Genomic DNA, 26,446 nt, shown 5'->3' with positions numbered 1-26,446 from the left:
CAATGTAAAGAATACTGCAATCATGACCAATCAGAAAAATCATGAAAATAAAGAATCTCCTCTTTCTTCTCAGAGTTGTTATTTCTGTGACCTATTATTGAGTCTTCAATAGTATCTGAGTCTATTTTACCAGTCACCAATTGACATATTCCAGAAACTATTATGATTTTAGCCATAAAAACATTGTTACAGTTTCTAAATGGGATGTCTGTTCCTCCTGCTAATACTTTTCTTTTTCAAAAACAGATGGCCTTATTGTACTCTTATTATTAGAAAAGCAATAACCAACTACAACTGCAAATGCATGGGTAGAAAGTGAAAGCTCACCAGAAAAACTAGAGTTTTTTTTTTAATTGGAATGTCCTGAGCCAGACTATTTCAAGGGGGTATGGGTGTGTGTGTGTGTGTGTGTGTGTGTGTGTGTGTGTGTGTACTTTTTTCTCTCAATACAGATTCGTTAAATACTTCCTTTCTTAATATCTTACTTTATTCCCATGAAGGTGTGTATAACTCAGTAAGCTCAGTAGCTTCAGTATACTACATATGTCAAGAGCTAGTTTTACATTGACTAGTTTCGACTATTATTCTCGCATACATAAAGCAACCAAATCAATAAAGCATATTTAAATTCAAACTTGACTATATAGTTACTACACCTTTCTGCCTACTGAAATTACACTCAGCAAAAGCTATCCACTTTCACTGTCATCTTTGCCAATGTCCAAAATGAATAAACAAGAATATATGCAAACAAAAAAATTCCAAGTTCTAGGAGTTCCCAAATCTAGTTCACCATATACCTACCTCAAAAATATTTTTCATTTCTTTAAATTCCTCTCTTAGACTCTTCTTAGCTCCAAGACAAAAATTACATACACTCTGATAAAGTGAATATATCAGTTACATATCTGATTTTTGGTGAAATTTAGATCATGGTAAGGTAATCTTGGGCAACATCAGTGTTCTCTAATAAAACACAATCCTCACTTCATAACTTTCACATCCTATCTACTTAATATCATGGCTTTTAGTTACTGAAATCTAAATGAACATCACCCTTTGCAGGAATTATTGATGTGAGTATCCTCTGTGATGTGGTATCCTTAGAAAAAAATTTAAAAAGCAATGATAACATGGTTTTACTTACGAGAAGTTTTGGAAGCAAGAACAGTAATTCGAGCACCTCCTAAGAAGTGAAAACCCATTACATTCACCTGATCATCATCTGACTGACTGGCAAAACCTACAAAGAAAAGAGAGAAATCACCTTATGTAACCAGAAGGCAAAATGAACACATTTGAAATAGGAACCTTAGTTGAATGATGCGTGTTTTTTATGTCACTAGTCATGTATAAACTCCATGTGTGAGCTATAATATATTCACCTTGATTTCCATAGTAGCTTCCAATTAATGAAATTTCTGCCTTACACTAAAACTCTGGAGTCATTTAATTTCATTTATTCTAATGGTTGATTCCACATATGAGACAGAACACGTGCAAGATGAACTTAGAATATCTTTTCATGCCAGATAGCAAGGAAGCTATTACCGAGCCAGTAGGGTTTTATGAAAACAACTTGAAAGCCAGCTTAAAGAGACTACTACTGGCCAGAGATAAAAATATTAGAGTATCAAAGAAAATAATAATTGCAATGGAGTAAAACACATCAAATATGTTTAAAGGCATGAGTTCATACAGAGACTTAAAAACAAAATAAAAACAAATGGTCACTATTGGATGATCCTAGAGAATCAATACTATTTATTTTAAGCTCTATTTATTTAAAATATTTTAAAAATTAGTAATAAAGGGAAAGAACCAAGCATTTATCCTGAAAACCCTACTCAAACTGCACCATATAACAACTACTAAAGGAAAGGTTCTCTCTGTAGAAATAATCCAGCTAAAAAATGAAGAAAGTGTGAAAGAAACAAAATATCTATTTTTCAGCCTGTAGTGAACTAATGGATCTCAGCATTGGATATCAATGGCTGTTACCATCACACACAAAAAAAGACAAACAAATATTATGTGCCCTCTGTTTGCTGAAAGTCTATACTACCATCCATGAAGAACTCCGGCCAGAATAGTCAATCTTGACTCTGCTAGCTGTAGATCCAACTTACCAATTTACAGACAAAGTGACAGAGAAAAGAAATATTAGGCCAGGCGTGGTGGCTCATGACTGTAATCCCAGCACTTTGGGAGGCCGAGGTGGGCAGATCATGAGGTAAGGAGATCGAGACCATCCTGGCTAACACAGTGAAACCCCATCTCTACTAAAAATACAAAATATTAGCCGGGTGTGGTGGCATGCGCCTGTAGTCCCAGCTACCCAGGAGGCTGAGGCAGGAGAATCGCTTGAACCCAGGAGGTGGAGGCTGCAGGGAGCCGAGATCGTGCCACTGCACTCCAGCCTGGGCAACAGAGTGAGACTCCATCTCAAAAAAAAAAAAAAAAAAAGAAAGAAAAGAAAAAAAAAAAGAAACATTAAACATCATCACGGGGGTAAAGGATGTCACCAAGATGGTAAAGTAGGGGACACTAGTCTTCATCCCCAGCAAAAAAATTAGAGAGAGAGAAAGACAGCTATTCAAACACCATAATAGCCCTGTGGGAGCTCAAGGGCCCATGTAAGAAGCTGCAGCAAAACGGAACAAATGGCTGGTTATATCGGCATACCTAAGATGCCTACAGATGGCTAGTGACAAAGAATAAAGGCAACAGCCTATTGGTGACAGCCGTGGAGTGGGAACTTCCATGGTTCCCAGCAGCCTGCTTCACAGAAGACACCAGCATCTTTTGCCACTGAGGTAACCAATAGCCATTTCCACCAGGGAACCCCAGAGAGGAAGGCATGGCTCCATATTCCCTTGCTCAAGAAGTAGCTGCTGTTGTACCACCCCAGAACCAAAACCACCACCTCTCCAAACCTTGCACATTCCCCTAACCCCCAGGTCACAGTCACTTCATGAATGTGCATACTTCAGACACTGGCTCTGTGGCTGCACTATGCCCATCCATGTCTCAGATACCAGAGCTACCACCAGAGTGAGCCAGCTCACACCCGAGGTCCTACAGCTAAGGTCTCTCTGCGTATTCCTATGGTTCAGTCATTACATCACCTGCCATAGAGGACAAGGTCCCATCCTGTAACCCAGAGCCAGAGTAACTGCACACATCCATGCTCCCATCTCGGGCTCCCCGGCTGTTTCATAAACACTAATGCCTCACATACCATCACCAACACAGCAGTGGGGGTTCCTGTGCCCCAGGCACTGGTGCCATTACCACCCAAAGCCCAGAACCAAAGTCCCTTTACACATACCCATGCTTCAGGACTTGGCTCCATGGCATCTCCATAGGTACCACTCATCAGGCACTGGAAACTGGCCCACAAGCCAGATAGAGTGCCAAGAGGGATCCCCTTGGCCATGATTTCCCTGGTGGGAGAAAAAGAGATTGGGAGTACCCTAGCATCCACTGCCATTAAAGATCCCAATAGCCCTCACTATTGCTGAGAACACTCACAGAGTTGGCAACTGAGGATACCAGCAATCTTAACCAACACCAACCACAGCTAAGAGAGCTGCAAACAGTTTACATTGCTATGCCCTTGCCAGGGCCAGAACCTCTACATCTCATACTGCCAGCACCCTTGACCTTCCCATAGAAGAAGGTCTTTCGTACCAAAATCAGCACACGAAGTTGGAAAAAGGAGACTGATCCACCAAATGTGCCGGCATCAAAGTATGGCAACAAGAAACACGAAAAACAAAGAAGACATATCCCTACCAAAAGAACACAATGATTTCCCAGTAGCTGACCCCAAAGAAATGGACATCTACAGGTTAACAAAGAATTCAAAATAATTGTTTTCAGGAAGCTCAACAAACCAGGAAAAAAAAGAAAAAAGAAAAAAAAAGAGAAACAAAACCCAGAAGAATAACAAGTTTTGGAGCTGAAAAAATACAATGAATGAAATGAAAACAGCTGGGCGCAGTAAGTCTAGCACTCTGGGAGGCCGAGGCAGGCACATCATTTGAGCTCAGCAGTTCGAGATCAGCCTGGGTAACAAAGTGAAACCTTGTCTCTACAAAAAATAAGAAAATTAGCCAGGTGTGATGGCATGCACCTGTAGTCCCAGCTACTTGGGAGGCTGAGGTCGGAGGATTGCTTGAGCCCAGGATGTCAAGGCTGCAGTGGGCCATGATCATGCCACTGCACTCCAGCCTGGATGACAGAGCAAGACCCTGAGAGAGGAGGGGAGGTGAGAGGAGGGGGAGGAGGACAGGATGGGAGAAAAGGGCGGAGGGGGAGGGGGGAAAGGATGGGAGGGGGAAGGGGAGTGGAGAGGAGGGGGAAGGGGAGGGGAGAGGAGGGGGAAGGGGGAAAATATAAGGAAGAACATCAAAAATAGAACTGATTAAGCAGAAGAAAGAATCTGTGAACTCAAAGTCAGATTATTAGAAAATACAGTGAGAGGAGGAAAAAAATGAAAGGAAAGAAGAAAGGCTGCAAGATTTAGGGAACAGAATCAAGCAAAACAATAAGAGAAAACCTTCCAAATCTGGAGAGAAGTATAAATATCCAGATATAAGAAACTCATGACATCAAAACATAAAATGTGGGGGGATGGAGTAAAAATTATTCACATAACTGTAGAAAAAAACTAAATTACAAATCAATTTCTCTCATGAACATAGATACAAAAATTCTAAAATACAGTTTGGCAAATTAAATCTAAAAATATAGTGAAGGCCGGGCGCGGTGGCTCACGCCTGTAATCCCAGCACTTTGGGAGGCCGAGGCGGGCGGATCACGAGGTCAGGAGATCGAGACCATCCTGGCTAACACGGTGAAACCCCGTCTCTACTAAAAATACAAAAAATTAGCCGGGCGTGGTAGCGGGCGCCTGTAGTCCCAGCTACTCGGGAGGCTGAGGCAGGAGAATGGCGTGAACCCGGGAGGCGGAGCTTGCAGTGAGCCGAGATCGCGCCACTGCACTCCAGCCTGGGCGACAGAGCGAGACTCCGTCTCAAAAAAAAAAAAATAAAAAATAAAAAAAAAAATAAAAATATAGTGAAAAGATAATATATCATGACCATCTATAATTTATCTCAAGAATGCACGGTTGGGCTAACATTAAAAATTAATCAATGTAATCCACCATATTTAATCAAATAAAGAAGAAAACGATAAGAATGTCTCAGCTGATGTAGAAGTAGTCTTGAAAAAATCCAATATCCATTCCTGATTACAGTCTCAGCGACCTAGGAATAGAAGGGAACTTCCTCAACCTGGTTAAAAAAAAAAAAAAAATCTAAAAAATACTTATAGCTAAAACATACTTAATGGTGAAAGACAATGTCTGTTCTCACCATTTCTATTCAACATTATCCCAGAGGTTCTAGCCAAGGCAAAAAGCAAGCAAAAACAAACAATCCAGTTGGAATGGAAGAAGTAAAACTGTTTTGATTTGCATGTAACATGATCATCTATGTAGAAAATCTGACTGATTAAATCTACAAAAATGCTAATAGAGCCCACAAGTGGTTTAACAATGTTGCATGATACAAGATTGATATAAGAAAATCAATTGTAAGCCAAGTGGGGTGGCTCACGCCTGTAATCCCAGCACTCGGGGAGGCCAAGACAGGTGGATCACCTGAGGTCAGGAGTTCGAGACCACCCTGACCAATATGGTGAAACTCCATCTCTACTAAAAATACAAAAATTAGCCAGGCATGGTGGCGTGTGCCTGTAGTCCCAACTACTTGGGAGGCTGAGACAGGAGAATTGCTTGAACCTGGGAGGCGAAGGGTGCAGTGAGACGAGATTGTACCACTGCACTCCAGCCTAGACAACAGAGTGAGACTCCATATCAAAAGAAAATAAAATAAATTGTATTTCTATGTATTAGCAAAGAACAATCTGAAATTGAAATAAAACACAATAGCATAAAAATATATGAAATAGGGATATATCTGACAAAAGATCTGTAAAACCTGTACATGAAAAACTACCAACCCTCACAGAGAGAAACAAAATAGACCCTAAATAAATGAACGATGGTCTGCATTTTCATCTTAAAAAAACTAGAATACAGAGAGAAAATTATACCATGTTCAATATTGTTAAGATATTGGTTCTCTCCAAATTGATATATGGAATCAATACAATCACAATCCCAATCAAAATCCCAACAGCCAGTTTTATTTAATTTACAAGATGATTCTAAGATTCATATGAAAATGCAAAGGACCTAAAATATCCAAAACAAAATTGAGAAGAATAAAGTTGGAGAAATTATACTACCTGACTTCAAGACTTATTATAAATATACAGTCATCAAAACACAATGTTATTGGTATATAGCAATAGACAAAAATATCAATGGAACAAAATTAAGAAAGCAGAAATACACCCACATAAATGTGGTCAGATGATTTTCAACAAAGTTGAAAAGGCAATTCAGTGGAAAAGGATAGTCTGAAAAATAGTGCTGTAACAATTAGACACCCAGATGCAAAAACATGAATTTCATCCATCCCTCACATCACACATAAATATCAGCACAAAATGGGGAAGAGACTTAAATGTAAAGTTTAAAACTAGAAAACTTCTATCAAAAAAAAAGAGAGAGAAACTTTGCAACCTTGGATTAGGAAATATCTCTTAGATGTAACAGTAAATTTATGAACCATTAAGAAATTGATAAACGGGGGGGTTTATGAAGATTAAGAACTTCTGCTTTTCCAAAGATTCTGTTAAGACAATCAAAATACATATCACAGGCTGGGAGAAATTATTTGCAAATCACATATCAAATAAAGGAGCAAAAGAAGACAAATGAAAAAGAACATATACTATATAGTTCCATTTTATAAAATTCTAGAAAATGCAAATTAATCTCTAGTAACAGAAAGCAGATCAGTGGTTGCTTGGGATGCAGGATAAGGAATTACTAATAGACAAAAGGAAACTTTTGGCAGTGATGGATATGTTCAGCAACTTAACCGTTGAGATGGTTGCACAGATAAATACAGAAATCAAACTTTTCAAAATTATACGCTTCAAATGTGTGATTTATGGTACAAAAGTCATACTTCAATTTAAGCTTTTTTAAAAGCACAAAAATATGCACTGAAGCTGTGTTTGAGAACAAAAGTGTATAAAAATGTACCAGAAAAAATAAGTAAGTATTTTATAATCTTAGAATAGAGATCATTGCAGGCATAACATGAAAACCTGAAACTACGAAGAAAGTAATTAAGAAATTTTACTACCTAAAAATATAAACCTTAAAAGAAGGAATTAAAAGAAGAAATGCAAGTAGTTAAGAAAAATTAAACATATTGGAAATTCAAGTTAAAAATGAAATGTCATTTTTTACCTAATAATATCAAAAATTTTAAAAGATTTAATGAATCCAGCTGCTATCATGCGCATGAACCTTGATGCTGGGAGTATAACGTGATACAATTTTTCAAAAAGGCAGCTGGTATTTGAATAAAGTTTTCAAATATGCATACCCATTAACTCAAGCATTTGTCTCCAAAGAATTTCTCCTAAGAGAAATAGAGAAGTACAAAAAATCTGTATGTACATGACACCTCCAAACAATGGAATATTATGTAACTATTAAAATATAAATGTATTGACAAGCAAATGTAGAAACATACTTGAGCAACATAAAAGACTATTATCAAATGACATTTTATCTGTTATTACATTTAAGTAAAATTTTTGTATAAAACTACTGGTATTGTGACATACATTGATGGTCAGGTAATTTAACACATGTTCCCAACCCCCTTTTCTCTAGCCCATTTAGTTTTCAGCCTCTTGTACTGCTAAAGGAAGCCATGTGACAAAAATTATGGCTATTGAAACCTAAGCAGAAATTTCCTAGGGAATCTTGTGAAAAAATCCTTTTCTGATAAAAGTTATCATCATTACTATATAGCTATTTCTTCCCCCTACCTCCTACCTTGTAGTAAGATATGATGCCTGAAGCTGAAGCAAATATCTTATTGTCGTGGAACAAGTCAACACACTAAAGATGGTAGATTACAAAAAAAGAAAAAATGCTAGGTATTTCATAACAGTCATAAACTACTGCCACAGCTTCCACTGCCCACTTCTGGATTCCTCTTTATATGAGATAAAGAAATGTCTTGGCCAGGCACAGTAGCTCACACCTGTAATTCCAACATTTTAGGAGCCCAAGATGGGAAGACCACTTGAGCCTAGGAGTTCAAAACCAGCCTGGGCAACACAGTGGGACCCTATCTCTACAAAATAATTTTTTTTTAATTAGCTAGGCATGGTGGTATATGCCTGTAGTCTCAGCTACTCTAGAGGCTAAGGTGGGAGGATTGCTTGAGCCCAGGAAGTAGAGGCTGCAGTAAGCCATGATTGTGCCACCGCACTCCAACCTCAGTGACAGAATGAGACCCTGTCTCAAAAAAAAAAAAAAGGTATTTATTGCTTAATTCACTTTTCTGGGGTGCCAGAAGCACCCCAGATAGCTATTTATATATGTAAATAAATGTTTTCTATATAATTATTAAGCATATTAAAAGGTTTTTCTTATAAGATTCTCTATTGGCAAGGTTTGGGGTACTGGACGCCTTTATTCAAACATTGTTGTTAGGGTTAACTGGTATTCCTTAAGGAAGTCAATTTCACACTATATTTCAGAAGTTTTAAAAACATTCTGATTCTCTGTCTCACCCAGCAATTCCACTTTTAAATATTCATCAAATAAACTATAATAAATTTGAAGAAGTATTGTTACAACAGTGTTCATCACAGGTATATTTACAATATTAATAAACTAAAAACAACGTAAATATCTAAAAGTATAATGCTGGTCAAATGATTTTATAGTATGGATTTATGAGAGAATACTATGTAATCATTAAAATCATATATCAAAAATATCTAATGGTGTAAAAAGATGTCTCAAAACAGAATGACAAGTGAAATTCTTTTTGGGGATAAATGCTTAGAAAAAATATTTATTTAAAGATTAGAAAAATGTAATGAAACAGAAAAAGGTATTGCTGGATAGTAGAATTACTAGTAACATTCACTTTTTTCCTTTTGGTTATCCACATTTTCTAAATTTCACATTTCTTTTGTAATAAGAAAAATTAAAGCTATTTTAAATATACCTATATTTGTTCACAGAAAGAGAACTGGAATAAACAAATGGGAAGACATGTAGAGTAAAAGTTGTTTTATTTCTTCTCTATAAAGCTCATTAATTTTGCTTCTTTCAGTTAAAAAAAACAGACACAGAAGATTTGCAATGGCAACTTTATCTAAGTCTTACTTTTATCAGAGTGAAGTGATACTTATTTTAAACAAGCACATGATTCCATCCAGCATGTTTAACATTAATACAAATCCAGGAATTTTTTAAAAACCACTCTATATCATATATATTGGATCCCAGAAGAAATTTTTAAAAATTTGTCATTGTGTCCCATTCCTAAAGTGAGTAAGAAGCAAATATATGCTGATGAGCATAATGACATCAAAACAATTGAGCCCAAAATCAGGAGGAAAATGGATAAGTCATCTAAGCTTTCTTTAGTACACACTATACAATTCGTATCTTATGGACTTTACCTTTCTGCTCAAAGGCATGTGTTTTTATTCAATTCTAATTGGGTTGCATTTATCTACAGTAAAGATCAACCCTTCCTCAGAAGTCAGGTGTTTAAACGTTTTTCAAAGCCACCAATAAATTTGGTGTTCAACATATAATTTCCAACTATGTTCCTAAGGTAGTATAGGAGACCCAAGAAACTAATAAGTTTATACAAGATGTTACAAAAGGTAGTGAGTCTGTTTTTTTCATAATCCAAGTTTGTTACAAGAAAACTGACTAAAAAATAAGGAGGTAAAAGAAGAGATGGGAGAAAGAACCCAAAAGGTAAAAAATATTTTGCTAACAATATATACATATATATCTCCAAACTCAATTCACACTTAAGAATAGAATAATTGTAGTAAAATATTTAATCTTGGAGATTTTTCAGAGTTATATATAAATAAAATTTTTGAAATACTGCAAATTAATAAAAAATAAATTTTAAGCACTTTAAGTAGTTAATAACACAAAAGTTGACTTACCATAAATTTCTAAACCTTGTGAGAAGTATTGTTTGTATCCTAAATCTTATCCACTAATGCAAAGGTGAAGATGCATCTCCTAGCCAACAGTGCTGATTTTTAATGAAGGATTTAAAAGGGTTGATTTAATTCCAAGATTTTATTCTTCAATTCTACCCCACCATCAAGAAAATTAATGACATGACACACTAAAAACCTTGGTTACTAAGGATGTTTGATCCAAAAAAGCTTCTTTAGTTTCTAAGCCACTCAGAAAGAAAAACTGACACTTCTCTCCAAGTCATACCATCACAAATTACCCCAAATGTTCACTGTGATATTGAAGCATTAAATATGAAACCCTTCTAAACAACCAGAAGCACAGGATGCACACCCTCTAGCTGCTGTAGACAGCAGAATAAAACAGTACAAAGAGCATCTACTTATAAGATTACTTTTCAGAGACATAAGAATATACTTTAAAAGGTACACATACAAAAGCCTACAATGAAAATAATAAATATTTATACACTTAGAAGACAGATATATCCAAAAACCTACCATAAAGATGAATAATAAATATTTACATTCCAAGCCAAAAAAATTCAGTCTAAAGAGAAACACTTGATTTTTATTTCTGAATACCATAGCAAAATAATTATTATGATAATTTTAATCAAACTTAAAAGGAATACCTTATTACCTTGTTGATATAAGCTATTCACCTTTGAACAGGCAAAGGAGGGAAAAATCCTTGAGGCATTTTTATACTCTTACTTAACAATTATCTGATAATTACCCCATCATTATCTGCTGATGAAGGATTCCATTCTAAATTCTTAGCATTTTTGATGCTGCAGGCATGTTATTTCAACAGTCTTACCTGGGAAGAGACTAAGAAGACTGACTGGAGATTTGTTGGTATCAATAGTAATTTTGTGGCTTGCAGTTTTTGAAGGCTGACCTGGTAGGCAAATTAACTTTAGGGGAAGTCTAAATTTACATTGGATAACTCGCGGAATGCCTAAAATAAAAGAGAGATATGTAGATTCATAGACTTGACAAATAATTTGGCAAAAAAAAATTGTACTACTAATAGTTTGAGCAGCAATATATCTTGGTTTGCTTGTTGCCTGCCTATTTTGCTTAACAAAGCTGAAATAACTGTAAATTATTATCATGATTCATATTTCATTACTATTTTCAAAAGGTACAAGGCAAAAATAAAATTTTAAAAGAAGCATAGACATGAGATCTGTCTTTAATAGTATCATATTTTTAAAATCATCACATTTGGATACTATATAAAACATTATAGTCACTTACATTCAATTACTGAACTAAGTCTTTAAGACCTTCAGAGCTCTAGCCCTAATCCAAGACTATCAGCAAACATGAGCAAAGAATATGAAGTTTCTATCATATCTTTAAGACTGTATATTACCATATCTAAAAATTTCTCTACTCAAAAACATTTTAAATCTTTAGCTTTTTTTACTTGATGAAGATTCAGATTATGAACATGAAAGCAAGATTTGCTCTTCTGAAGTTCTATTGAAGTCCATGTTCATTTTACACATTAATATGTAGAATATTACCTTTATATGAATTATACTTTTCTCAAGCCATTTAACTTTACATATCACTTTAAGTGACATTTTAGACATTTAGACAGTCATTCAATTGTTAAATGATTTTAATACTCATACATGCATACTGAAATAGGTAGCTGAATATACGACAATGAAGAGTTTCATATTAGAATTTGTATAAAGCTTTTCAAAATCATTTTCAATATTTTTACAGAAAATGAAATTGAAACCAAAGCAAATTAGGCTCTCTACTTATAAATCTAGAAAAGCAATACTAAAATCCTAGTTTTCTCTCCTTTTTTCTAGAACTCTGTTTTTGACTGGTTAAGATGAAAGATAATATATAGAAGCCTATGCCGTGCCATAGTGCTGTAGAAAAACTGAACACTCAAAATGTTCTAACTCTACTTGATGAATCCACACATTAATTCCTTTATTTCTTTATAGAGGAGTCAGGGAGCTGCTTAAAAATAGCAAAAGCAGAAGCAGTTAGTTTGGAGACATGATCCCAAAGCAGGATCCCTGGAATTAGCAATATATTTTGCTAAAGTCAATTGGAATTGTATGTCTTACTCCACATCCAAGCTGGGAGTACACTTTCCAGTACTACTTATTCACTAGGATAGTGAGAAATCATCAACAATGGCAAGCATATTGATATATGAGGTCAATTAAATACTTTTTCAGAGCATGTGGAGCATATTTGTCATTCTCTTCAATATAATCTATTATCCATCAAGTTTTACGTAGCTCATTTTTTGCTCATAACCAACAGATGTTAAATTCACTTCTCCTGGAATCCTAGATGCGAATTACAACTGGTGTCTCTTAAGAAAAGTCCCAGGGTATTATTTCATGACATTCTGTGAGGTTTTTAGAGGCATGTGTATTTGTACTTTACAATGATGAGATGTTTTGACTCAAAATATTATGGTAACATGATCTAAGATACTGCACAAAGCACGACTGTCAATATCACCACAAAACAATTACAAAGCACTACTTTCTCCAACTTCAAGGAAATTTCCATATACTCTATATATCCTCAAATTATGGAAATACACCCACTGAGTATGTTTCCTCTACAATAAGTAAACTGTAGAGAAAATTTCAGATTGTATCAATTAATAGATACAGTCTGGAAAGAACAAGGAAACTTAAACTTGTTTCCATCTTCTTCATTTTTAATGACTAGTACAACAAAAACAAATGCTTCCTTTTCTGACAATTCTGTACAGGCACAAAAAGAAACTATCTTCTATACACTTTCAACCAAATTCTGAGCTAATTACTCAAACCAGAATTTGGCTGTGAATGTTCCTCCAAAACTATACTGCTAAAACTGTAGCCACTACTTTACTTGGACCAGGTACTGACTGAATTCACAGTTAAAAAAAATTAAATATAATCAACAACACTGCCTATAAGTGACTGAGCCTATATATTTGAAGATTATTACCCTACATCTCCACGAACCCAGAGCTAAAGAAACTGGTAGTGTATATGTTTTCAGAAATCGAAACAAATGGATTGCAAGCACTAATAAACCCAAGAAGGAAAATACATTGTAACTCAATTTACAGTTCAGTTAGGTCAGTTAATGACAATATCACACACTAGGGCAATGGTTTGCAGTTGCTAAGATTTGTAGAGCCCCTCCAGAATATCTTTTCTCTGCAGGAATTATAAGCCTGTTTCATAGGACATTTGGAAAACATTACTTTGAAAAATGATGACACTCATACTTAATAAAATGATTATGGCTATTTTTTAAATGATGGCAGCTTGAAAAGTTTTACCATTAGGGAGAAAAAGTTATGAAATCCTTTAAAAAAACCAGTCTACAGAAACCATCCCTTAAAAGAAAAATTAGAATGTCACTATTTTATAACACTATCAAATTAAAATCCAAGGATTTTACAATACAATCTCTAGTTTTTAGACATGAGGTTCATCAGAGGCACATTTCTACTGGGATTTACACCTTCTTAGGAAACCTGAAGTGTAAATTTGGCTACCAATTACTCTTCAGGCTGTAATTATGTCTAAGAACCTGAAGCCAAAGACTCATAGAGGCATGTGTGGGTGTATGTGTTTGTAATAGAGAAGGAAAAGAATTACATGTATTTAAAGACTTTTCACAGTTGCTAGCAGAACAGCTTTCAACTTAGTTGAAAGAGACTAATTGGTCCTAACTTTGCCTACCATCAGCAGTATTTTCTCTCTATAGTTGGCAAAGTAGTCTCCATATCTGGCTTACTGAATTCTCTAAGTGTTACGCTGAGAGAAAAGAAACTTTTGTCATTTATTTTACTCCAATATTGGCCTAGTCATTTATCACACTGACTGTTCTGTAGTTCTTTTTACCAGATATAATCACCTCTCCTTCAAACATTTCCCTTCCTAACCTACTAGAGGAAATGGATAGTCGTAACTACTATGGTGCAATTAATCACAAAATTATTTAACACTCAGAGAGAATATTCTCATCAAAACTACCTCTAACAGAACATTTTACTTCCAGGAAGAGACTTCTAATTACATCTGGCACACCCCAAAAGCCCAGTATCACTGTCAAATTGGAAGCCAAAATGTGCTTTAAAGAAATAAAGGAAAAAAGAACATAGAAAAAAAATAAGTATATATGAATAAAATAACCATACCTATATATTATACATCTATATAATGCCTTTAGAACTCTTTCCAGGGGCCTGCTAGAGTAATTTCATATTGAAAACAAGGAACCCCAAAGCAGTAGCAATGTCTGGTAGCCAGAACTTCCTTGATTCCTTCCTGTTATGTCTGGCTACGTACTGTGCTTCATCTGCATTCATGTTTTACACTGCTCACGCCATGTAACTTTAATGCAGAAATAATGGAGACTAACCCTTATGGGACAACATAAAACCTCGTTTGCCTCTCTTTTTCCACATATAAAAGCAGAACTGCTTATCTGCATTGCAGCCCGAACAGATCAAGACAATAAAATGGATCAGTCTTTGAAATATGAAGCCTTGTGTGTAAGTAAGATCTAAGTGGCAACATATTATTTTCTTGCCTACTAGGTGCCGCTGAATATTTCAACTCCACTCCCTAAAGCTTAATTATAATTTTAAAATATATCAAAGAGATTATTAAAACCAGCTTTCACTTTGTATTGAAACACTACCATTTCTATAAATTGTGGGTTTTTTCCTCATAGTTTGGGCTGAATTTACAGTAAGAAGGAATAAATTTCTTTGAACAATAACCTTAACTGATTTTTTTAAACTTAAAACTAATCATTTAAATAATAACATGATATTTTACAAAATTTGGTCCAAAATCTTAAAAATTACAGGCAATCTAGCTAATTAAAATGTAAATATTCATTATTAATATCAGGTTATTTTTTAATGACCCAAATTCTAATTTGACAAGTATACTTTGTGTTATTAAGCTAATCGTTTACTTCTATTAAAACACTTCTCATATAAATATATATATAACTTCCAGATATCAAGATGACATGTGCTATGCAACTCAGATTGTTGGCATCACCCAAACGGCATTAGTAAATATTGCCACAATCTTTAAGTCATTTCATTATATTTATTTAATTATTACTAATTAATATTGCTATCTAAAATGTATCTTAAAATAACTTATAAAGATAAACTACCACATTAAGTCTATATCTAAGAGGGAAAAATAATCAGAGATACTTGTAGTGCCTGCTATGTACTCTGTTAGTATGCAATTCAAAGATGAGTGCTTGACCCCTGCCCTCAAAAAGCTCAAAACCTAAAAGGAGAACCTAAGGAACAAACTTAATTAAGTTCATATTGTGATCAGAATCATAGCAGAGTCAAACAAAAGATTTGGGGAAAACAAAGTGAGTAACAACACTGACCCAAGCAAGTTAGAGGGAGTCAGATGTTTGATAACATTCCCCTACAAATTCTAAACAAGACAAGGAATATGCCCACAGAGCGAACACACACACCATTCTTATCACAGAGAGGTGAATCTCTTGGAGGATGTAGAAAAACACAACTTAGAATTCAGTGACAAACACTTTTTTTAAACTCTTTCTTTCTTTTAGGTAAAATAACAGAGCATGCAGCTAAATAACCAATGACTTGCAGTAATAAGTTGTCAATAACACCTTTAATATTTTTCAAAAAAGACATTCTATTTTTACTCCTAATTTCATTCTTTCTCATGACTCCGAAACAACTAATAATGACAAGTCTCTGTGGAAACATCTACTATGCTCTCCATAGCAGAATCAAGGCACTGTATCATCCTAAAGAACTTCTTCTAGTTAAAAGAGCAGTCCATAAAAAGAGTTCATTCATGGTATAATACCAATTCAATTCATCAAATTTCAGTTCTGAAATTCATTTTTTTCTAAATTATCTTTACACTTACCATCAGGATTTCGATCTGTCCATCACAGGCAATGCAAAAATGGGTAGGGGGAAAAGAAGGCAACAAATTATCTGTGGTAAAGTTACAACACAAATTTGACACATATCTGCTTAAAATACAAATTAAAATTTCAAGATTCTCACAGATGACTTAAATGACTCTCCAAACACAAGTCAATCCACAATTGAGAGTATAACACAAATAAATGAAACCCAACAATACATTTATTTATATTTCCATTCTCAGAAGTCTATGAGAATGTGTTATTCCACTGTAAATGTGGGAAAAAAACAAGTAAAGATATATGATCTAGCCAAACAGCAAAAAAGACTCAATAAAGGGGAAAATACATAATATTAATATTTCCAGTTACTTTTTGAATTTATTTTCTTTTAACTTTCCCCTTTAAAGTCAATCCAGTTCCTCTTTTTTATAATAATTTAAGTAAATAATACTATTGATAACGTCTCTTTTTGCTTCTCTTGGCATTCTGCAGACTCTCTCAATGTTAATTTCTAATTCACTTTCAACCAATACCAATGATTAGTAATCTTCTAAATTCTGTCTTTCAAATTGCAGAAAAGCATAATGGCCAAAAATGGTTGAAAAATGCAGACTAAGTTTTAAAAGATCTGTTCTTAAGTATTTTAACACATAAGATGCTAAAGAGTTTTATTTAGTCACTAAAACAGTGTCTAAAACTCTGATTACTGCCCTAATGTTGGAGTAATCCATAATATTATTTTCTACTAATTCATACTGATAGAGGTAGGAGGCAGACAAACGCCTAAGCAAATACGGAAAGGTCCCAGGTGAAATCTTACCTTCAGGCTTAAAACAGCCTGAGGGCTGAAAGACCGTACTGCTGGTCCTGGATGAAACCCAGAACCCAGAAGAACTTCTGTCCCTGTGTGCCTGCCCTTTCCCAATTGATTCTTTCTGAATAATGTCTTTTAGCCAATCGAATGCTGCCTTTTCAAATACTACCTATGGCTTGCCTGGACATGCCCGCGAGCGCACTGGGGAAATGGGGTGGGGCCACAAGGAATAAGTGCCTTACGCAGGGGAGGAGCCTGGCCTCATCAGCTCAGGTGTGGGAGCCCTGGTATTCAATTTGTGAGGTGGAAACCCGCTTTAAAAATTCCACCCTCCTCACTCACTGTGTCCGCATGCCTAATTCTTCCTGGTCATGAAATAAGAACGCAGATATGGCTGAACTAAGGAGCAAAAATCCTGCATCAATACTAGCCTTTGGTTCAAATAAATGAAGTCTGACTAGATAACATTCTTCTATTAGGAATAAAAATGTATCAGATTTGCTATTAACTGAAAAGAGGGAACCAAACATTACATATGGAAATCAGCTAAATAGCCTTATCACGAACTACTCATAACACATAAAAGTAATGAAAACATGATTTTACTTAACAGTAGAAAATAACATTTTCTCATTTAATGATATTTCACAGTATGTTTTCTCATCTTAAATGCATAAGCATTTTACTCATAACTCCAACAACTTAAAGTAATGATTAAGCCTGTATGTTTACCTGTTGGTCTGGAATAAGAAACAACAGCATTTCCTTCCAATTCTGATGGTGTATAACTTCTTTTCAGATAAACAGAAAAGCTTACTGTTCTAGTCAAATCTGGTGCTATAAGCAATGTAAAAATAATATAAATTACATAATTTGGGGCAACTGTTATTAACAACAGTTAAAATTTAATAAGCACTCACCACATGCCAGGTACTGTCATAAGCACTTACATGAAGTAACTCTTTAAATCTTCACAACAAACCTGTGAGGTTGATACTATTATTGTCCTCATTTATTATGATGAGAAAACTGAAATACAGAGAGATTAAGAAGCTTGCCTAAGACCGGGCACAGTGGCTCACGCCTGTAATCCCAACACTTTGGGAGGCCTAGGTGGGCGGATCACGTGAGGCCAGAAGTTCAAGACCAGCCTAGCCAACATGAGAAAACCACATCTTTACTAAAAATACAAAAAAATTAGCTGGGCGTGGTGACACCTGGAAGGTGGAGTTTGCAGTGAACCGAGATTGCTCCACTGCACTCCAGTCCAGGCAACAGAGTGAGACTCTGTCTCAAAAACAGAAACAAAAACAAAAAAAGAAGCTTGCCTAAGGTAACACAGCTACTAGGAATTAACTCCAGAACAAGGTACAAAGAAACTGGCATTCTACACCACTGCTGTTCTTTACTTCGAGGAACAGACAGCATGAACAGAGAAAACGGTACACAAAAGGGCAAGAGAATTTGGGAGGAAAATAGCAATTTATCATGGGTAGAACATAGACTGAAGGAGAAAATGGATGAGGAGTGTTACACAGTAGCCACTTAACAGATTGTGCGTGCTCATCTATGTTAACATATCTGGCCCCCAACCTGTATTAGAGAGCCATAATAAATGGAAAAAATAAATTATTTAGAATGTATTTTAGAAAGACAAATTGGAAGTGTTATACAAAATCAGAAATGCAAGCAAAAGTTCAATGGCTGGGTATCACCTATGAGGTTACTTCACTCAATCGTTTATTCATTCATTCTGCAAAGATTTGTTGAATTCCTACTAACGGCAGGCACTCAGCTATGGGTTGGTTATGTGGAGGCAAAAAAAGAAAGATATGTTCTTGACTTCGTGAATAAGAGATAGAAGCCTTAGCAGAAAAGCTATAGTAAACTAAAAAAAGAAAAAAGACTTGAAAGGTAGTTCAGATTATCTTAACAGGACTAATGACAATTTGGATATAAATGGTTGGGAGTAAGAGATTCTATACAAAGAAACCTTACTAAGAGTTGCCATTAATGACATGTCTACTATTTTAAGCATTATTATGGATATCTTTTATAGATTTACTTTTTAATCAAATCCTCAAAACAACCTTGTAAAACAAATATCATTACCCCCTTTTTGCAGATTAAAATAAATGAGGCTCCAAGTGATTACTAATGTAGTTTTTGCCTAAGGTTACACATCAAGTGAGTGTTAGAGCTGGATTCAAACTCAGGCCAAACTCCAAAGTCCATATTAATTCTTCAAACATTACCGATTCAATAAATAGATCACTAAAGAAACACCAATAAAGAAAGCCTTCTAAATTTTAGTATCTAAAAACAGGCCAGGAGTGGTGGCTCACGCTTGTAATCTTAGTACTCTGGGAGGCCGAGATAGGCAAATTGCTTGAGCCCAGGAGTTCAAGACCAGCCTGGATAACATGGCGAAACCCCGTCTCTACTAAAAATACAAAAAATTAGTCAGGTGGTGTTTTCCTGTAGTCCCAGCTACTCAGGAGGCTGAGGTGGGAGGATCACTTGAGCCCAGGAAGTCGAAGCTGCAGTGAGCCATGATGGTGCCACTGCACTCCAGTCTGGGCCAATGAGAATGAGACCCTGTCTCAAAAATAAATAAATAAATCAAAAACAATTATAGGTCCAACAAGTTCAGAAAAGCACCTAGAAATCTGTAATCGTAAAAGATTAATTTGACCCAACAATCATTGATTGAACGTTCATGCTGATGCTAAGAGGGAAAATATAAGCAAAACAACACAATCATTGATTTTGGGACGATCCCAATCTCACCATTCAGACATGAAATAATAGCCATTAAATGAACAAACTAGTATTTTTAAAAAATTCACACCATGGTAGACTTTCAGCCAAAACAAAAAACTTACTCATAAATTCAAAGGTGAACTGATCACAAGTCAATTCTAATGGTGGTTGCACGTAGACTGATAATTTGGCTTTTTGCAATATCACTCTGTTCTGCAGTGTGACCTAAGGAAACAGAAATTGTTATCAATAGAAAATTACATTTTATTCAAACTGATAGACTATCGTAACTACTTAAACATAACTAGCAAATAATTAGAAAATATTACCTGAGGAAAAAATGAGTAGTCACAAAACATAATACAGTAAGTAATAGATTAAAATATTCTATCAAGTAGAAACTGTGCACAAAAGCTAAACAGACTTTACTCAAAAGAATAAAGATTGGCAATATGTACATGCAAAGATGCTCAATATCCTTAGTTATGAAGGAGATACAAACTAAAAACCACAATGAGATACTACTACGTACCCAATAAAATGGCTATAATCGAAAGGACAGACAATAACATGTGTTAGCAATGATGTGGAGAAACTAGAACCCTCATATATTGCCAGTGAAAATGTAAATTGGTACAGCTACTCTAAGAAAAGTTTGGCAGTTTCTTCAAAGGTTAAACATAAATTTAACATATAACTTCACAATTCTATACCAAGAGAAACGAAAACATAGGTCCACCCAAAATCTTATACACAAATGTTCACAGCAACAATATGCTAATAGCCAAAAAGCAGAAATAATCCAAATTCCCATCATGATGAATGAATAAACAAAATGTGACATATTCATACAATGAAATATTGTTCAGCAATAAAAGAAATGAAATACATTATGAATAACATTAATGATAAAAACCATTAGCAATTTTCTATATCCATGGAACCATGCTAACAAATTTATGTGCATTATTTCATTTACATGCCACAACATGGGTGAACCTTGAAAACATGATGCTAAGTGAAAAAATCTAGCCACAAAGAACCACATATTGTATGATCCATTTATATGAAATGTATAGAATAGGCAATCTATAGAGAAATAAAGTAGATTAGGAGTTGCTTAGGGATGAGAGAGATGGGGAATGGCAGCTAATGGGTATGGCATTTCTTTTAGGTGGGATAAAATGTTCTAAAATTAAATTGTGGTGATAGTTGCAAAATTCTGTAAATACACTATACTAAAAGTCATCGGATTGTAACTTTAACTAAGTGAATAATATAGTATCTAAATTATATCTAAGTAAAGCTATTTTAAAATGTTCTATCATGGTGACTCGTATGTCATGAGAAAAAAAATTAAATAAAATAAACCACCATTCTATATGGTACCTTTTCTATACGGCAGTTCAGTCTAGTTATTAGACTTTGTTATATGAGACAGATACATACATTAACATAATTCAAGGACCATTCTTATTGTTAAGAAAAGTAGTTTTGAAGTTTCTTTTCAATAAAAAGCATGTATTACCTCTTTCTTGATTAAATATATATAATATTTTTATATATACAAGAATATACAAGTGGCCCACAAACATTATGAACACATAATTAGATTCAGTAAATGTATTAATTTTAAGTGATGTGAGTATTCTGCACAACTTAAAAATAAGTTAAAAACATAAAAATTTTGACTTGCAAAGGAAAATTTTTAAGACAACTATCGATGCAATTAAATATGATAAACACCATGAACAATGAATCCTCAATTTTTACTTTGTAAATCCTGGGAATACACAGGGAATCATCATGCCACAAACTAAACTTCCTCAATGATGTCTGGCCATTGTAAACATAATACCTTTTTAGTAAAACCCTGATGGTTATTATGGCAGGAAGACACCATGCAAGTGCTACAAACAACTTTCTTTCAACTAGCTAGTCCATTAAACAAACAAGACACAATTTAAATATTCTACTATTATAATAATATAATACTAGTCTGTACATATATTTTTAAATAAAATGAATAATATTAATGATAAAAAATATTAGCAATTTTCTATATTCATGGAACCATGCTAACAAATTATTTACGTGCCATTATTTAATTTACTCTTTACAAAAATGTTTGACAGGTACCATCATAAACCATTTTACAAAAGACTGTGGCTCAGAGATGCTAAGTAATTTGCCCAAGGCCACTTTGATTGCAAGTGGCAGAACCACAATTTAACTGCTATCTGCCAGAATCCTGAGCCCATGCCTTTAACCAACTGTGGTTAAGACTCAAAATAACTTTGCAGATGAAAAAGTATCCCTATTTTACAGTTTAAAAAATAGAGGTTCAGAGAAGGTAAATAACCTGTGCAAAGCCATCAATCCAAGTAGAGAGTTGAAAATAGTGACCAGGAAAGTCTTATGAGAACTCAGTTTTAAGTAAAAATGAAAATTCCTTTAAGTAGTAATAAGCCATTTGAAAAAGAGCAGTCTGGCTTTTCCTGGCACAACGATGTCTACTTAGACAATAATCACAGAATTTTACATTGTAACAAGAAGGGTTTGCATTTGGTTTAGTTGCACAATCATGATAGCTCTCATGCACATATTTATTGAACCCCAACAATGGGCTAGGCCCTTTCAAAATACAAATCAAGGAGATAGGTAATGAAAATAACAACAGTAACAAAGAATAGTTGTGTTTGAGCCAAAAAAGAGTTAAAGACTTGGCTAGATCACAAGTCTTATATTTTAACAGGAAAATAATTATAGAATATTAAGGAGAAAATATAAAACATTGATACAAGAATTTTCCATGCTATTTTCTGCCTCTTATGAAATATAACCCTTAGGAAATATAATACCAAATTTTTATCCTAGATATATAAATACAACACCAGAGGCCAGGTATGAACAACCACTCGCCTAGTTGCCTGGAATAGATGGTCACGCATCATGCACACATACTCAAGGTAGCCACATCTTCATTCACTTGGAACGGATGGAAAAATTTTCTCAATTAACAGGATTTATTATGATGGAAACTTGCATGGTTGTATATCTTGGCTGCTGTTGTTATAAAAGGTCATAAGGAGAGATTTATAGTAGAAATTTGTATAGAAACTGTCAGACAGGATCAGGAAGACATTGTGTCTGCTGTGTGAGTCCCACCAATTTTCTGCACCCCTTGCCTGTTGCATTCTTTCTCATGCTTTTATAATGGCAATGAGAAAGACAGTTGTGACTTAGGTATTCTCAAATATAGTAAGTTCCACGAACAGAAGGAGAATTTTCCAGTAGTGTCATGCCATCATTTTAAGGTGGCTACTACACATGAAAGCTTAAGAACTGCATGGGAGGGAAAGGTATGTTTACTTACGGTGCTAATTCCTGGTTGGCTGGGGGTACAATTAGCATGAGCAATGTTATCTAGTTAAGGCACAAGATCTCTTATTGCAATTAACAGTGCACTCCTAAATTATTACATGTATGTGTCTGAACGTTATCAGTAGATAGATTTAAAAGAGGTGTCCCTATACAAAAGTACAAATCATTCCTGGAACTCGACAGTTATTTCTTTTTCTTAAGTGTTTGATTTCTTGCCACTAATGCCTTTCCAGATTCGGAAGTATTAATGAGATAGAGCCTTTGATTGGACTGGGGGAAAGGAGGTTGGGGAAAGACCACCCTTGTTTCCAGTGGCAAGAATCCAAAAAACTTAGCTTAGGAAACTGTTGTAAGATTCAGCTCCCTTCAAGTTCGACCAAAGATCTCCACATTTGGGCCACCCGCTGGTTCCAGTGTAAGCGAACACAATTGGTAAAGCTTGGTGCCCTGTCAAGCTCCTCCAAGGAGAGCAACCCATAATCTAAGAAAATATAAAGCCCCATCCAAGTTTTGACTAAGTGAATTGCCAAAATCCACAACCTTCCCTTGCTTCCAAGGTCTGGGCATGATAAATATTTTCAGCTTAATAATGTGCTGACTGATTACCATATTTTAATCTAAATGCTTTAAGAAGGTTCTACATTTAAGTTCTAGTTCTAAAATTCTACAATGACAGGACTAAAAATCTTAACCAAAACCACATCCTTAATATTCTATTTTCCAGACTATCAATTTGTTACCATTCTAACTTTGTGGCATCTTCATTCAATATTTTCTTGCTGTAAATACATCCACTTAAAGTTAAGGCAGAGAGATGGCTGGAAATTCTTTTCAAACACCACATAATCATAGGTAGAAGAAAGATATTACCATCCCCGTGCTTCTCCAATATCAATTCACAGTATACTATGTATGATGCTACTTGATTGTTCTATTATGAATGGTGATGACACAATTCCTTTAGCAGATTTAAAATGTTAACTTTATTTCCAAAGAAAAAAGCCTGGATCATGCTACACATTTAAATAATGGTAACAGTACTTCATAATAGTTATTTATATTATATACATATTGCTATAAATGCAATTACCAGTTTTATATTTGCAAGTAACAGTAAAGGTTTTCTATTCACTACTCAAGGCTGGGGAAAAATCTACAAATGCCAAGTGTTTATTTTACATTTCTGTAAGCTACTTACAAGTTCTCAACAGTGACAGATGTAATGAAATAAATCATATTGTTTGCACATTACAGTCTAAAATCTGGTACAATACCTTCACCGTGACAGAAGGGACAAGGTCAGTTCCCACCTCAACATCGGTCGCTTGCTGTAAACACAGAATTGAGAAGGCAAGAAAGAATGATGTCAATATTACACAGCAGTGAGTGAACACAATGAGTGCAATGTATATTTCCTACTATCAAAATAGGAAACTATAAAAGATTTATTACTCTAATGACAGACTAAAAGAGACAATCTGGCTTTTTTGATGCCTTCGTCCAGAAAGTCATAAGCTAATATTTAAAAACTCATCCCCTGGGCCGGGCACGGTGGCTCACGCCTGTAATCCCAGCACTTTGGGAGGCCGAGGTGGGTGGATTATGAGGTCAGGAGATCGAGACCACCGTGAAACCCCGTCTCTACTAAAAATACAAAAAATTAGCCGGGCCCGGTGGCGGGCGCCTGTAGTCCCAGCTACTCGGGAGGCTGAGGCAGGAGAATGGCATGAACCCGGGAGGCGGAGCTTGCAGTGAGCCGAGATCACGCCACTGCACTCCAGCCTGGGCGACAGAGACTCTGCCTCAAAAAAAAAAAAAAAAAAAAAAAAACTCATCCCCTAAAAAGGAAAGAAAAGGTCACATATTTTATCAAACCACTCCATTCCCAGATTTACTTAAATATTGAAAGTATTAATTCTATTAACTTGTTATTTATATTGCATAGAAGAAGACCTCCCTGTATGTCCCAGAAAAATATTATGCCATTCTTTCAGGTCCCTGTATTTTCACCCTGTGTAAGGTATGTGTTATTCTGATTAACAACATGTATCTAAGACATGCAGCTAATGATATAAAGATTGAGTGGCCTTACACCCATAAAATAAAAGTAGGCCATGTGCGGTGGCTCATGCCTGTAATCCTAGCACTTTGGGAGGCCGAAGCAGGTGGATCACCTGAGGTCAGGAGTTCGAGACCAGCCTGGCCAACATGATGAAACCCCGTCTCTACTAAAAATACAAAAATTAGCTGGGCATGGTGGCAGGCACCTGTAATCCCAGCTACTCCGGAGGCTGAGACAGGAGAATTGCTTGAACCCGGGAGGCGGAGGTTGCAGTGAGCCCAGATCACGCCACTTCACTCCAGCCTGGGTGAAAGAGCGAGACTCTGTCTCAAAAATAAAGGGGCGGGGAGGGGAGGGGAATGGAAGGAAGGGAAGGGAAACTTTTTTTTAACCAGTGCATATCATAAACTAATTCAATAGGCATTCTTTGAGCGTCACCTCGTGTTACCTGCTCCTTCCTCTTAAAGAATACATAGTATAATATAATACATAAAACACTTCCCTTATCACTTATAACTTATTTTTTAGAGTGATACATTGGTAGGGGAAAATGCTCTATGATAGAATAAGACTAAGGGGTGACATATTTTCTAATAATACCGTTATGAATTCTGGGGACCAATTAAAATTATGTCTCTATCCAACCAATGAATATGATCCATTGCGTTTTTTTACTTGAAGTATTTTTAACTAAGAAAAACTAAGCCACTTCTAAGCAATGGGGATTCTATGATGTAATGAGCATCAGCAGAATTCAAAGTTAAGAGATTCATATTCTACTTATGGCTCCACAGGAAACCATATTTAAACTATGATCTTGCTTCTCAGTAAGGAAGATGGGATAGCAATGCTTATCTCCTCTAAGAAAGACTCCATTCTAATATAAATTATATTACTTTTTTGAGATGTGTGCTTTCATAATAATGATTCAAAGTAAAATATTAATCCAGGCTTTGTGCTCTAATACCTAAAATCCAGGAAATATTTTACATTTAGCTATCCACAGATCTAGAAGAGAAACCAACATCTCCTGTTTCCTGCTCATATCAATCCATGACTAAACACCTAGATACTTCAAGGACAGCAGTCCTTTGGGAACATAAAACTATAGCAAGAAAGAAATGGCTATAAGAAGACGTCATGGCACCAAAGCCACATAAATTGTAGGGCTAATGTTTTCCAATGAGATGAATATGATACTCTCAAGAAATCTCTTAAGAAAGAAAAAATAGTAACACAGGGAAAATGAAGCTGGAAAGAGACACCTACTTAAGAGGAAATAG

At 35.3% G+C, this 26,446-nt stretch overlaps 1 protein-coding gene across 19 annotated transcripts in view, besides 2 other annotated features; it reads right to left on the bottom strand.

Moving 5' to 3' along the window:
* BBS9 (Bardet-Biedl syndrome 9) overlaps positions 1-26,446 on the bottom strand; it is a 506,483-nt gene that overhangs the window by 266,758 nt on the left and 213,279 nt on the right. For 11 of the 19 annotated variants that reach the window (NR_145411.1, NM_001348036.1, NM_001362679.1 and 8 more), the window contains 6 exons: positions 24,376-24,429; positions 19,840-19,942; positions 17,687-17,791; positions 16,137-16,151; positions 11,015-11,155; positions 1,148-1,243 (listed from right to left, as the gene is read on the bottom strand). Coding sequence is in view for 16 of the 19 variants with exons in the window: in NM_001348036.1 (NP_001334965.1) it covers positions 1,148-1,243; positions 11,015-11,155; positions 16,137-16,151; positions 17,687-17,791; positions 19,840-19,942; positions 24,376-24,429 (514 nt within the window). In the remaining 3 variants the exon portion in view is untranslated. Of the gene's footprint in view, positions 1-1,147; positions 1,244-11,014; positions 11,156-16,136; positions 16,152-17,686; positions 17,984-19,839; positions 19,943-22,639; positions 22,784-24,375; positions 24,430-26,446 lie in introns of all 19 variants that reach the window. The other 8 variants (NM_001348039.3, NM_001033604.2, NM_001348044.3 and 5 more) reach the window with 5 other exon arrangements.
* Positions 16,594-17,093: an enhancer, noted in NCBI's record as "NANOG-H3K27ac hESC enhancer chr7:33391529-33392028 (GRCh37/hg19 assembly coordinates)". NCBI's record gives its function as "activates a minimal SCP1, AML or CMV promoter by ChIP-STARR-seq in primed H9 embryonic stem cells {active_cell/tissue: H9 hESC(primed)}" and the evidence as "EXISTENCE:reporter gene assay evidence [ECO:0000049][PMID:30033119]".
* Positions 17,094-17,595: an enhancer, noted in NCBI's record as "NANOG-H3K27ac hESC enhancer chr7:33391027-33391528 (GRCh37/hg19 assembly coordinates)". NCBI's record gives its function as "activates a minimal SCP1, AML or CMV promoter by ChIP-STARR-seq in naive and primed H9 embryonic stem cells {active_cell/tissue: H9 hESC(naive and primed)}" and the evidence as "EXISTENCE:reporter gene assay evidence [ECO:0000049][PMID:30033119]".

This window comes from Homo sapiens, chromosome 7 (genome assembly GCF_000001405.40).
Source record: "Homo sapiens chromosome 7, GRCh38.p14 Primary Assembly".
NCBI classification, from domain to species: Eukaryota; Metazoa; Chordata; class Mammalia; order Primates; family Hominidae; genus Homo; species Homo sapiens.
Note: the sequence above shows the minus strand (reverse complement) of the source record. Positions and strands in the feature narration are given on the sequence as shown.